This window comes from Homo sapiens, chromosome 11 (assembly GCF_000001405.40).
Source record: "Homo sapiens chromosome 11, GRCh38.p14 Primary Assembly".
Classification (NCBI taxonomy): domain Eukaryota; kingdom Metazoa; phylum Chordata; class Mammalia; order Primates; family Hominidae; genus Homo; species Homo sapiens.
In genome coordinates this window covers 75282678-75295748 of record NC_000011.10, presented here as the reverse complement: position 1 = coordinate 75295748, position 13071 = coordinate 75282678, and the positions used below count along the sequence as shown (strand labels likewise).

The 13071-nt window shown below is 52.5% G+C and overlaps 1 protein-coding gene across 9 annotated transcripts in view, besides 1 other annotated feature; it reads left to right on the top strand.

The window, feature by feature from the left end:
* Positions 1 to 13071, top strand: part of ARRB1 (arrestin beta 1) — a 91540-nt gene that overhangs the window by 55913 nt on the left and 22556 nt on the right. For all 9 annotated transcript variants that reach the window (NM_020251.4, XM_017017754.3, NM_004041.5 and 6 more), the window contains 4 exons: positions 5710 to 5740; positions 8374 to 8434; positions 11470 to 11514; positions 12266 to 12462. In NM_020251.4, coding sequence (NP_064647.1) covers positions 5710 to 5740; positions 8374 to 8434; positions 11470 to 11514; positions 12266 to 12462 — 334 coding nt within the window. The remainder of the gene's footprint in view (positions 1 to 5709; positions 5741 to 8373; positions 8435 to 11469; positions 11515 to 12265; positions 12463 to 13071) is intronic.
* Positions 3725 to 4225: an enhancer, noted in NCBI's record as "H3K4me1 hESC enhancer chr11:75002568-75003068 (GRCh37/hg19 assembly coordinates)". NCBI's record gives its function as "activates a minimal SCP1, AML or CMV promoter by ChIP-STARR-seq in naive H9 embryonic stem cells {active_cell/tissue: H9 hESC(naive)}" and the evidence as "EXISTENCE:reporter gene assay evidence [ECO:0000049][PMID:30033119]".

The following is a 13071-nucleotide window of genomic DNA, read 5'->3' as shown; positions in this document are numbered from 1 at the left end:
TCCAGATCATTGCTGGTTTCAGTGGCAAAGGAAAGAGAGCATGGCAGGCCAAAGAATGCTCTTCCCAAAGATGTCTACATCATAATCCTTGGAACCTGTGAATAGGATATGTCACATGGCAGAGGGTAATGACGGTTGCAGATGGAGTTAAGGTTGCTAATTAACTGACCTTAAAATAGGGAGATTGTTCTGGATTATCCAGATGGGTTCAACATAGTCCCAGGGGTCTTTATAAATGGAAGAGAGAGGCAGAAGAGGAGGTCAAAGTGAGGCAATGTGATAAGAACTGAACCTGCTCTTGCTGCCTTTGAAGATAGAAGCAGGGGCCATGAGCCAAGGAATGTGGGCAGCCCCTAGAAGCTGGGAAGGGCTGGGAAACAGATTCATCCCTTGAGCCTCCAGAAATGAATGCAGCCCTGTGGGTACCTTGATTTTAGTCCAGTGAGGCCCATTTAGTGTTTCTGAACTACCAAACTATAAGATAATATGTTGGGTGTGTGTGTTTTTTTTTTTTTTTTTTTTTTTTTGAGACAGGGTTTCACTCTGTCACCCAGGCTCAAGTGCAGTGGCACAATCTTGACTCACTGCAACCTCCACCTCCTAGGTTCAAGTGATCCTCCCATCTCAGCGTTCGAGTAGCTGGTACTACAGGCACACACCACTGTGCCTGGCTAATTTTTGTATTTTTGTAGAGATGGGGTTTCACCATGTTGCCCACATTGGTCTTGAATTCCTGAACTCAAGTGATCCTCCCATGTCGGCCTCCCAAAGTGCTGGGATTACAGGCATGAGCCACCACACCTGGCCTGTTTGTGTTGGTTTAGGCCACTAAGTGTGTGGTAATTTGTTACAGCAGCCATAGAAAATGAATACAGAGGGCATGGGGAATCAAGCACCAGCACTTAAATCTACCTGGCACTGACATCTGGCACTTCTACTCATATTTCACTGGCCAGAGCAAGCCACATGGACATGCCTAACTTCATAGGACCAGAGAAATCTGATACTCCCATACCCCCAGGCTTAGAAGGAAACTGAATTTTGGTGAATATAGTAATGTCTATTATACCTTGCTACCTGCAGTGCATGCTTATATTTTCTAGTCTATTCCATTCCATTTCATTAAAAAAATATTTTAAGTTATTTATTTATTTATTTATTTATTTATTTATTTATTTATTTATTTATTTTTGAGACGGAGTCTTGCTCTGTTGCCCAGGCTGGAGTGAAGTCACATGATCTCAGCTCACTGCAACTTCCGCCTCCCTGGTTGAAGCGATTCTTCTGCCTCAGCCTCCCGAATAGCTGGGATTACAGGTGCATGCCACCATGTCCGGCTAATTTTTGTATTTTTAGTAGAGACTGGGTTTCACCATGTTGACCAGGCTGGTCTTGAACTCCTGACCTCAAGTGATCCTCCCACCTCGGCTGGGATTACAGGCATGATCCCAAAGTGCTGGGATTACAGGCATGAACCACCATGCCCAGCCATAAGTTGGTTTTATTATCAACTAGTATGTTGTGACCCCCTGTTTGGAAAACATTACTCTACAGACCCTCTTCTGCCCGGGCCTCCTTGACTACATGACAGACCTAGATGTGTGACACACCTAGGTATAGCTGATTGGCCCAGGTGTAGAACACATGACCAGTGCTGACCAATCAAATTCCTCTACTGGGAATTTGGAAGTGGGCCATTCAACCAGTTAGCAGTGGGAAGCTGAGTGAGAATCAGAGTGGAAACAGTGTCAGAGTGGGAGTCACATCCAAGCCAAAAGGATGGAGGAGGAGAAAAGCCTTGAGTAAGTAGAGATAGCTGGTCCACAGAGGCAATGGGGCAGCCGCCCAGAAAGCAGTGCAACCGGGGGAAAATGAAGCCCCGGGAGGAGAGGTGCAGAGAGAGTGAGACTGCCTGAGATTCAGATGGCTTCCCAGATCCTGCGCCAGCCCCCATGCATCCTGCCTGCATCCCGTGAGAATTTTGCCTTCTTATAACATGCCCTCCCCCTTTTCTTGAGCTACCCTGGGCGGTGGGGTTGGGTGTGGTGGGGGCTGGTTCTGTTCCTTGTCTCCACTGAGCCTTAATCAGCTGGAACACTGCTGGTATTTCTCTTATAGGCACCCAGCTCTGTGAATCAGGCTGTGGGGCATAGATGGGGCTGGGGATGAGGCAGACCCTGCCTCTGGCATCCTGGAAATTTGGCTTTGACCAGTCTTGGACGTGTGTGCTTGCTCTTCAAAGTTGACAGGCAGAGCCATCTGTGTGACGCTGCATAGGTGGAGGTCCCAGGAAACGAAGCATCCTCACAGGGGCCTCTTTTCTGATAGTGTTAGGGTCAGGAAGTCAGAGGAGTTTTATCACAGAGGGCTTGGCAGTGTCACAGAGTGGAAAGGACATGGGCTCGGGAGACAGGCAGACCATGCTTCACCTTGGTGAGACTCAATTTCCTCATCTCTGAAATGGTATTGTAAGGATCAGCAGTGTTCTAGGAAAAATACCTAAAGTCATGTCTAGAGCATGGCATGCTCTTGGGGAATGTGGTGGCTGCTGCTGTTGTTTGAGGAAGCCATCAGAGTCCTGCTTCCTGAAGGAGGTGGTCCTGGTGCTGACAAGGTTAGCAGCAGGTCATTCCCCACTGCTGGCCACACTTCCTACCCTGGCCACCCTCACTGTGCCCCTTGCCCCTCTCCTCTCCTCATTTCTCCTCTTTATTGTTATTCCCGATGTTGATGAAAACACCCGGTTTAGGAAAACAGCCGGGTTGGATATGAAGCACCCAGCTTCTGGAGGCAAGCAGATAGAATTGGGTCTGAATCCTGACCGAGCCCCTGGCTTGCTGTGTGTTCTTGGGGAAATTACTGCGTCTCTCTGAGCCTTGAGCTAATTACCTGTAAAATGAGGATGATAATCCCCATTTCACAGAGCTATTATGAGAAATAATTAGCCACTCAACAAAGTTCTGTCTTCCCTCCCTCCCTTCTTAAGTTGCCTCTTCCAGCCTGACCAGGGTGTCTCGCTCCTTCCAGCAGTCCCTGGAATGGTTTTCCCTGACTCAGTTGTTTGTGGCCTCAGGCACCTGTGGCCTCTCCTTTCCTTCAGACCATGGGCTCCCGAGGCTTCTGGAAGCAGGTGGAGTCCCTTGTGGCCGGTGCCACTTCTCTGGTCTTCTCTGCACGTCCAGCCCCAGCTTGGGAGCTGCTGCTTCAAACCTTGTGATCTGTATTTTTCCTCACTTTAGCAATTATCACACCCCAGCTGACTGTGGCATCTTCACACTCTGAACACTAATAAATATTTATGAGAAGGAAGCTGGACGCGGTGGCTCACGCCTGTAATCCCAGCACTTTGGGAGGCTGGAGGTGGGAGGATCACTTGAGGTCAGGAGTTTGAGACCAGCCTGGCCAACATGGAGAAACCCCATCTCTACTAAAAATACAAAAATTAGCCTGGCCTGGTGGTGCATGCCTGTAATCCTAGCTACAGGGGAGGCTGAGGCACAAGAATCGCTTGAACCTGGGGGATGGAGGTTGCAGTGAGCTGAGATCACGCCACTGCACTCCAGCCTGGGCAACAGAGCGAGACTCCATCTCAAAAAAATATAAATAAATAAATAAATATTTATGAGCAGGAGAAAAGCCCAGGGCTCCCAGGGGAGGTGGGGCGGGATGTGCCAGGCTTCTTAGTAAGCCATGCTCACACTCATCAGTGGTTCCTGCCAGCCCAGAAGTGAGAGGTGAGGGTGGGCAGGGCCAGGGCCATCAATGCAGCGCAGAGCCACCACCCACTCGCCTTCTCTTCTGGAAGGAGGCAGGAGTGGCTGTCCATGTGCCATGGCGGGCCTCACTGTCCTGCCCACCCTGGTGCCTACTGGACCCTGTGCTCCTGGGGGAGGACTGGGTGGCAGGAAGCCCTCTCAGCCTCATGTGTTCCTGCCCTACTCCTCTGTCCATGGCTGTTTTAGCCTCTCTTATTCCATCTTTTATTTTCGCCCGTCCAGGGCCTGTGTCCCTATCCTCCCCTCTCTTCCCCAACCCCCTCTCTTATCTCGCGGTCTCTGTCTCTATCTTTCAATTTTCTTCTCTCCCTCCCAACAATTACTTTGAGAGATCCTGGAGCTACCTGTTGGCAGCTAGGGAAGGGGGTCTCAGGCTCCAAGACCCAGCTCGGGGGAGAGGGCAGGAGGAGATACGGAAGGCAAGTGAGTTCCACTTTTTGGGAGTCATGGACTACATCTCAACCTGATTCCTTATCCAGCTGGGTGACCATGGCTTATTCTCTGCCTTTCCTGGGCTTCAGTTTCTGTGAAGTAAGGCAGTTGATTCCTTCACTCATTCATTCATTCATTCACCTGTTCAACTAATGTTTATTGAGTGTTTGCTACCTGCCATTCATCATTTTTTGTTTGTTTGTTTTTGAGACTGAGTCTTGCTCTGTCGCCCAGGCTGGAGTGCAGTGGCGTGATCTTGGCTCACTGCAAGCTCCGTCTTCTGGGTTCAGGCAATTCTACCTCAGCCTCCCAAGTAGCTGGGATTACAAGCACCCACCACCATGCCCAGCTAATTTTTGCATTTTTAGTAGAGATGGGGTTTCACCACATTAGTTAGGCTGGTCTTGAACTCCTGACCTCCTCGGCCTCCCAAAATGCTGGGATTACAGGCATGAGCCACCGTTCCTGGTCCCATCATTTATTAAACAATGATTGCAGTGCTGTTCTGGGTGCTTGGGATAGATGCATCTGTGGATAAGAGAGACAAAGATCCCTGCCCTCGTGGAGTGACATATTAGCAGAGTAGACACATAATAAACAAGCAAAATATGTGTACATTCGAAAGTGGTAAGTGTTGGTTGGGCGTGGTGGCTCACGCCTGTAATCTCAGCACTTTGGGAAGTCGAGGTGGGCAGATCGCTTGAGTCCAGGAGTCTGAGAGCAGCTGAGCAATTTGGTGAAACCCCATTTCTAACAAAAAACAAAACAAAACAAGAAAACAAAAAATAAAAATTAGCCCAGGGTGGTGGCGTGTGCCTGTGGTCCCAGTGACTTGAGAGGCTGAGCAGGAGGATCGTTTGAGCCCAGGAGGCAGAGATTGAAGCAGTGAGCTGAGATCACGCCACTGCACTCCAGCCTGAGTGACAGAGTGAAACCTTGTCTCAAAAAAGAGAGTGATGAGTGCTATGGAAAAAGAAGAAGTAGAGCAAGAGAGGGACTTCAGGCCCCGGAGGCACAGTGGGGCTGAGCATGCAGATGTCTCGGGGAGAGCCTCCCAGAAGAGAACTGTCCCCGAGGTGGGAATCGCCCTGGTGTGCTTGAGGACCAGCCGGGGGTAGATGTGGCTGGAGATGGGTGAGGGAGAGTAGTAGGAGGTGACACCGGGAGGTGAGGGTAGATCACACAGACCTTACAGCATGCCAGGCTTTTCCTCACTTGAGCTCAGAAAACTTGCACTTGGAGACTCCCGCAGCCTGCCCTGCAAAGACCTGACTGCAAGGCGGCTGTTGCGTAGCCCAGGAGAGCTCTAATGGCTATCGTGGAGGCTTACCAGTGGAGATGGTAAGAGCGGATTACATGGGCACTGTTCGGATCTCAAGCCTGCATGGTGCCTGTCAGTCACTCCAGCCCTGGTCCCCAGTCCTGCCTCAAGGTGGCCCGCAGGAGCTTGCCCCTGGGCAGGATACGCGAACCCTGGCCTGACCTCTCTTTCTCTCCACAGAGTGTTCAAGAAGGCCAGTCCAAATGGAAAGGTGAGTCTGTAACAGCTGCGCCCAGCGCCTCCCTGACCTCACACTCTGGTCATTTTCTCTTGGGAAGCAGAGGAAACGGCATGTCCCCTGAAATGCACACCTCTGTGGGAGGGGGCAGGTGCTGCTCCCCGTCTTAGGGGTGACACAGCTCTCTCTCTTGGAGCTGTCAGTTGAAGGGGGAGGGACACACTCAGGAAACTTTCAGAGTGGGGAAGCACAGCTCCCCTGAGCTCTGGTGTAGGGAGAGACGGCCTGTCATAGAGAGACTTCAGTAAGTATGTGACAGTGGAGGACAAGCCAACCAGTAAGCGCCGAGGGCCGTGGGGGAGTGAGTCCCCTGCTGTGAGAGGACCCTAGCGTCACCTCCTTAGCCAGGGCAGCTCCCAGGGCCTGGCTTCCTTGCTTTCTCCTTGCAGGTCCAGATGCCATCCTGCTTCCCCCTCAGTTTAGCAGGTAGACATTACTGACACCATTCCACACCAGGTCTGGGCTGAGCCGGCGGGGACAGGGGCAGGGTGTACTCAGATGAATGAGGCACAGTCTGTGCCTCTCACAGCCAGATGGCAGAGGCAGACACAGAAATCCATCATTTCAACATGAAGTGGCAGAGGGGAGATACGGGGCCATTGGGGCTGCAGGACCCAGCCTGGTGGGCAGCGGCAGCTTCTAGGAGGGATGCATTTCCAGCAAGGCAAGGTGAAAACAGCATTGTAGGCAGGACATAAAAGCATAGGAACTGTGGGAATCTTAAGCAGCTGAGTTCAGAGTGCCAAGAGAGAGGCTGAGGCTGAGAGGCTGCAGGGCTGGTCACGGGAACACTGTGGCTTGGCTTATGAGCTGGCCTGGGTTGGCAAATAGCACCACGTGTGCTTCCACATCTCTCTTCTGTGTCCACAGTAGATAACATCAGTCACCATTGCCCTTCCCTGCTGCACCAGGGTTTCATCTTAGATTCCTTCTCAGCCCAGAGTCCGAGACAGCTCCCCGTCCCCTCTCCCCGCCGGTAGATCAGACTTGGCACTTGGAATGAAACCCATTTGTCATCCTTATTTTTGGACACTGAGGAACCATTAATGGGTTTCAGGCGGCAGTAGCATGGTTAGATTTGAATTTTAGGGCTGGTCACAGTGGCTCACGCCTATAATCCCAGCACTTTGGGAGGCCAAGGTGGGTGGATCACTTGAGGTCAGGAGTTTGAAACCCTGTCTCTACTAAAAATACAAAAATTAGCTAGGCGTGGTGGTGCATGCCTGTAGTTCCAGCTATTTGGGAGGCTGAGGTGTGAGGATCACTTTAACCCGGGAGGTAGAGGTTGCAGTGAGCTGAAATTGCACCACTGCACTCCAGCCTGGGCGACAGAGGGAGACTCCATCTCAAAAAAAAAAAAAAAAAGAAAGATTTGCATTTTAGGGTGACTAGTCTAGCTAAGGAGGAGAGCAGGCTCTCAGCGAGTGAGCAGCAAGGGGCTGGTGTGGTGGTCTAGGCAGGAGTGGCTGTGGGGATGGAGAGGTACGGACTTGAGAAATAATGATGGCGATCGAGTCACAAGGATTGAAGGGTTGTTGAGGAACAGCACACATCAGGATGACGCTCTGGATCTGGTTTAGCCGCTGGAATTCTGTCTCGGGGGTTTTTCCCTCCCGGCTGGCTATGGAGTGGGGCGTGAGCCCCCAAACCCTCAGTGCCTCAGAAGGCAAGTCCTCACACACAGAACTGCTAACTGTGTGAGGTGGTGCATTTGTTCATTAGCTGGATGTCACCTTTCCACAATGTATATCTATTTTAAAACATTGTGTTGTACATGATAAATAACATATACTTTTAACTCAATTTAAAAAATTAATTAGGCCGGGCACGGTGGCTCACGCCTGTAATCCCAGCACTTTGGGAGGCTGAGGCAGGCTGATCACCTGAGGTCAGGAATTTGAGACCAGCCTGACCAACATGGTGAAACCCCATCTCTACTATAAATGCAAAAATTAGCTGCGTGTGGTGGTGCATGCCTGTAATCCCAGCTACTTAGGAGGCTGAGGCAGGAGAATCGCCTGAACCTGGGAGGCGGAGGTTGCAGGGATCTGAGATCGCGCCATTGCACTCCAGGCCGGGCAACAAGAGCAAAATTCCATCTCGAAAAAAAAATTATTTAAGAAAAAGGAAACGAGTCCTCGTATCAGTGGATCCCCGCCTGGCTGCATGGGAGAAGGAGCAACTGAAGAACACAGCGCGGCCCGCGTTCAGAGCCTCTGAGGGCTCAGCGCTCCCGCCTGCCTGGGGGCTCTCACCCTCTGAGATGCCCACACTCCCACTCACCCAGCTTCTCTGCCGCTGCTGCTCCACTGGCAGTGGTGCTTGGCATGAAGATCTCTCCGGGCCTCAGTGTCCTCATCTGTAAAACAGGAACAATAATGACTCCTTCAAGGGTTTTGGGAGGAAGTGGTGCTTTTAAGATTTTACAGGGGTTTGCGAATCTTGGTATTAGGGCTGGGGTGAAGGCCCAAGTCCACTTAGGATTTTGATAAGGGTTAGGGATGGGTCTGGAGTTTCAGAGGCTGCCCGCAGGGTTTCCTCCAAGACAGGGTCCTGTGTCCTCTGGGCCTGCAGCTGCTAACGCCCCCTATGCCTCTCCTCCTCAGCTCACCGTCTACCTGGGAAAGCGGGACTTTGTGGACCACATCGACCTCGTGGACCCTGTGGGTGAGTCCCTGGAGGGCGAGAGGAGGGCTGGGGGAAGATGTGGCTGGCCAAGCCTCCCAGAAATAGCTCTCAGCTCTCCAGAGGGGCCCGGTGCCAAGAACGGGGGTGAATGGCTTCCTGCTTCAGGCAGCAAGCATTTACTGAGCAGCTACTTTCCCACTCAAGTGAGGACTGCAAGAAGAGACTGTGGGAAGGACTGAGGTGACAATCAGGGAAGGCGTCCTGATGATGGTAAGAAGGGTGAGGGTGATGACGACAGACACCGCCACTTACTATAAGGCGTGTCATGTAGCAGACAGTGGGGGTGGCTATGATGACTATCCCTGCTTTCCAGACAAGGAGAATGAGGCACAGAGTGGCTCAGTGACTTACTCCAGGTCATAGAGTGAGTAGATAGAGGAGCCCGGTTCAAACCTGGCAGAGTCTGCAAAACTCTTTGTTCTGCTTCCTTGTGATGGCAAAGAGTGGGAGACAGAGGGAGAACCCTTCTTAGGACTTGTGAAATGGGGGCTGTCCTCATGTACATGGGGTTCCTGCTAGAAGCTGGGCTGTGGCTGAAGGCACCTTCCAAGTTCTTGTTCAAGTTCAGGGTTTTGCAATTTCTGCATGCTTGACATTTTGGATTGGATAGTTCTTTGTTAGTGTGGCCTGTCCTGTGTGTTATAGGCTGGATAGCCACATCCCTGGTCTCTACTCATTCGATGCCCAGAGTACCTCACGCTCCAGTTAGGCCAACTAAAAATGTCTTTAGGCCAAGTGCGGTGGCTCACGCCTGTAATCCCAGCACTTTGGGAGGTGGATCACCCAAGGTCAGGAGTTTGAGACCAGCCTGGCCCACATGGTGAAATATCATCTCTACTAAAAAATACAGAAAAAAAAAATAGCCGAGCATGGTGGCATGCACCTGTATTCCCTGCTACTGGGGTGGGTGAGGCATGAGAATCGCTTGAACCCAGGAGGCAGAGTTGCAGTTAGCGAGATCATGCCACCGCACTCCAGCCTGGGTGACAGAGCAAGACTCTGGCTCAGAAAAAAAAAAAAAAAAAAAAAAAAAAAAAAGATGAGCAAATCAAAGTGAGGCCTAGTATGGCCTTTCCCATCATGTCCCTGTGGGCTGTCCTGGGTCCAGGGCAGGAGTGATTTGTGTGGTTCCTGAGCCAAGGAAGCGAGCCCGGCTGCAGGCTTCAGCTCACCAGGAGGAAGACCTGGGGACCCTGGGCTCCCAGGGCCAGGGGGCTGTCAGCAGAGCCCTTCATGGCCTAGAGCAGAACACCCCCAATTCTCCCCTCCAGCCCTGCCTGGGATGCTGTTTGGTGTCTTCTGAAGCTCAGTGTCCCTTTGCCATTGGCATCTTCTCCCTGAGGTGGCCTCTCAGAGGCCGGGAGCAGGCATCCTGGTGTTCATCTGTGGCTGCTTCATGTTGTCATTTCCAGTGGGCCCTCTGAGGCCAGGGTTGTCCATGTCCATTGGCCTACTAAGGACAGCAGCAGAGGTGGCCCAGAGACTGGGAGAGGACAGGGGCAGGAAACCAGCCCCCAACACACGCAGGCACCCTGAGAGCTGTTCAGCAGGTGTTCACAGAGCACCCCCTTTGTGCCAGGCCCCTTGTGAGCCCTGGTATCCCCGAGAACTCTGGGGCACTGTGCAGAGCTGATCAGGGACTCACTGTGAGAGATTCTTCTCCCATAGTGACGCTGCCATTTGGCTTGATCTGATCACACCCTCCCTATGCTTACCGGTTCCCCACCAAACCTGCACACAAGTCCAAGCCCACTGGCCTGCCCAACAGGACATTGATGATCCATCCTGGCCCTCCTCTTCCACCAGCAGTGAAGTGACAATGGGTTAGAGGGTAGGGGGAGAGAGAGAGGAAAGAAAGGTTTGGCCAAAGATAGACAGGGGATGTCAGCCAAGGGGGTGACCCTGAGCCAGTGTTTCTGGCCTCCTGGGGTGCTGAGCAGAGATGTCCTTTGTGTCCAGCTGGACTCTGCCCCCAAGGGCAGGCCTCAGGGCACTGAGGCGCCTTCCACAATCTGCAGAGTGCTCTCGAGTGCTTGGCACTGTCTAAGCGCTGTACACATATGCACATTCACACATGTACCCATTCAGTCGTCACGGGAGCCCCATGAGGGAGGCACTGCAGATCACAACCCCCAATCCACATGTGCCAAGCCCAAGCTCTGAAAACCTAACATTGCTTCCAAGTTTAATGCAGAATTCATTTATTGGCAAACCTGACCCAAACTGATGCGAGGCTATTTATGCCTTATTTAGCCTCTTGGTGAGAATATTTGTGTTTTCCTACAGAGGTATTAATGGCTTTAATAATAAGGTACAGATCTTGCAGAGGTCATTACAGAATATATGGAACATGTACCATTTTGCCTATTTTATTTTATTTTATTTTATTTTGAGACAGAGTCTCGCTCTGTTGCCCAGGCTGGAGTGCAGTGGGATGATCTCAGCTCACTGCAGCCTCTGCCTCCCAGGTTCAGGTGATTCTCTTGCTTCAGTCTCCCGAGTAGCTGGAACTACAGGGGCCCGCCACCATGCCCAGCTATTTTTGTATTTATAGTAGAGTTGATGTTTCACCATGTTGGCCAGGCTGGTCTTGAACTCTTGGCCTCAAGTGATCCGCCCACCTCAGCCTCCCAAAGTGTTGGGATTATGTGCATGACCCACCACGCCCGGCCCATTTTGCCTCTCTATACTTCGCAATTTCTAAATTCCAAAGAATACCTGGTTCTAGGAGTTTCGGACCTAGGTTATTATTCTTACTAGCAGATGAAGAAACAGAAATGGTCTCTAACCTGCCTAAAGTCACCAGCTGGGTCTGTTATACTGGCCTGGGATGGGGGAAGGGTGGAGCGTGGTGGAGGTGGGCAGTGCCACCCTCTAGGTGCCCGCCTTTCCATTTTTCTCAGGATGATTTTAGATGAACAGATGGTTGGATCTGGGCTTGGGCTGGTGTTTGGGGCACAGAGGTTTGGGAGACCAGGTTGGGAGAGGCCGCTTACTCTCTGTCCTTTCCCCAGATGGTGTGGTCCTGGTGGATCCTGAGTATCTCAAAGAGCGGAGAGGTAGGCTGTGGCCCCCATCCCCAGCCTGTCAAGGGCCGCCTCCTCTTCCCCCCGGACCTCTAGCATAGGAACTCCCTGCCCATCCCCACTGGTTCCCCTGAAAGCCCCAACAAATACCTCTACAGATGCCGTTGCCTCCTCCAGCCTGGGACGGCCCTGCCCCAAGCTTACTTTGGGAGAAGGTTTCCCCATGCCCTGAGCACTTTCACATCAATATGTCATGACTGTGGCAAGGCTGGGGATGCCAGCAGGGTAGGAGTAGGTTCTTCTTTAACAGAACAGAACATTGATACCGGGGCAGTATCAATGCGCAGGAAGACAAGAGTGCAGACTGAGCTGTGACAAGACGCTTGCCGTCCAGATACCACCCAGCACTTGCCCTGCCCCCACAACTCCCTGCTCCTTCCCCAGGTCCCCTACCCCCACCCCAGGCCTGCCAGACTACTCCAGCCCCCGCCAAGCCTGTCAGACCGTTTCCATACCCCTCCACATATGCCCTGGGGAGAGGTGGGAGGGGGAAGGACAGAGCTGGCTCAGCAGGCAGCCCCCTCCTCCTCCCAGGGGCCAGGCCATGGCATCCTTCCGGTACTCACTACCAGCCCTCCTGGTGGAGACAGTGCAGCCATCCCCACAGAGCTTGGGACAGGCTTGGGGCCTCCAGTGGGGCCCGTCCCAGGGCTGCTGCCGGCACTCTGGGGGGCTCGCTTGCTGCTCTCCCAGGCCCCTCCTCAGTGCTCCTCGCTCCCCACAGTCTATGTGACGCTGACCTGCGCCTTCCGCTATGGCCGGGAGGACCTGGATGTCCTGGGCCTGACCTTTCGCAAGGACCTGTTTGTGGCCAACGTACAGTCGTTCCCACCGGCCCCCGAGGACAAGAAGCCCCTGACGCGGCTGCAGGAACGCCTCATCAAGAAGCTGGGCGAGCACGCTTACCCTTTCACCTTTGAGGTCAGGAACTGCCATCCCTGGGGCCCCATTCCAGAAATGCCACCTCTAGGAAGCCCTCTGGGGTGGGCATAAGAGGGCGGTGAGGGTCAGCTGCTCCCTGCCACCCAGTTTCCCAGTGTATGCTGGGACCTGGGGCACTGTCACCTGTGTTACCTGGTAAGTGTCTCTTCTCCAGCCCCTGCTGGGGTTTGTCACCTGTACCTTTGGGCTACTCCTCAGACCCTTCTGAGGCCAGGTCATTGGTGGGAGAAAGGGGGTGCTAAGGGGCTTCAGAGAAAGAAAGAGCCCTTTCTGGACCCTGCATCACTGCAAGGGGTTTCCCGCTCAGATCAGCTCCCCACTTGCCCGGCAGCAACCCAGCTCGCAAGAGAGGGATGGCAAGTAGGTGATCTGTCTGCCCCACCACCTTTCAAATCAGAGACTTTAAGATGCTGGATTTCAAAATCTCAAGTTTCTTAGGCTCTCTGATTCTGAGATTCAGTGTGGTCTCTCCCTTTCTTGGAGGCTGAGAGAGTGGAGAGGGTCATGGAGTCACCTTTTCTACGTAGACATGTTAGCTCCCTATGGCTGCTGAAACAGATTGCCACAAACTCGGCAGCAATTAAAACA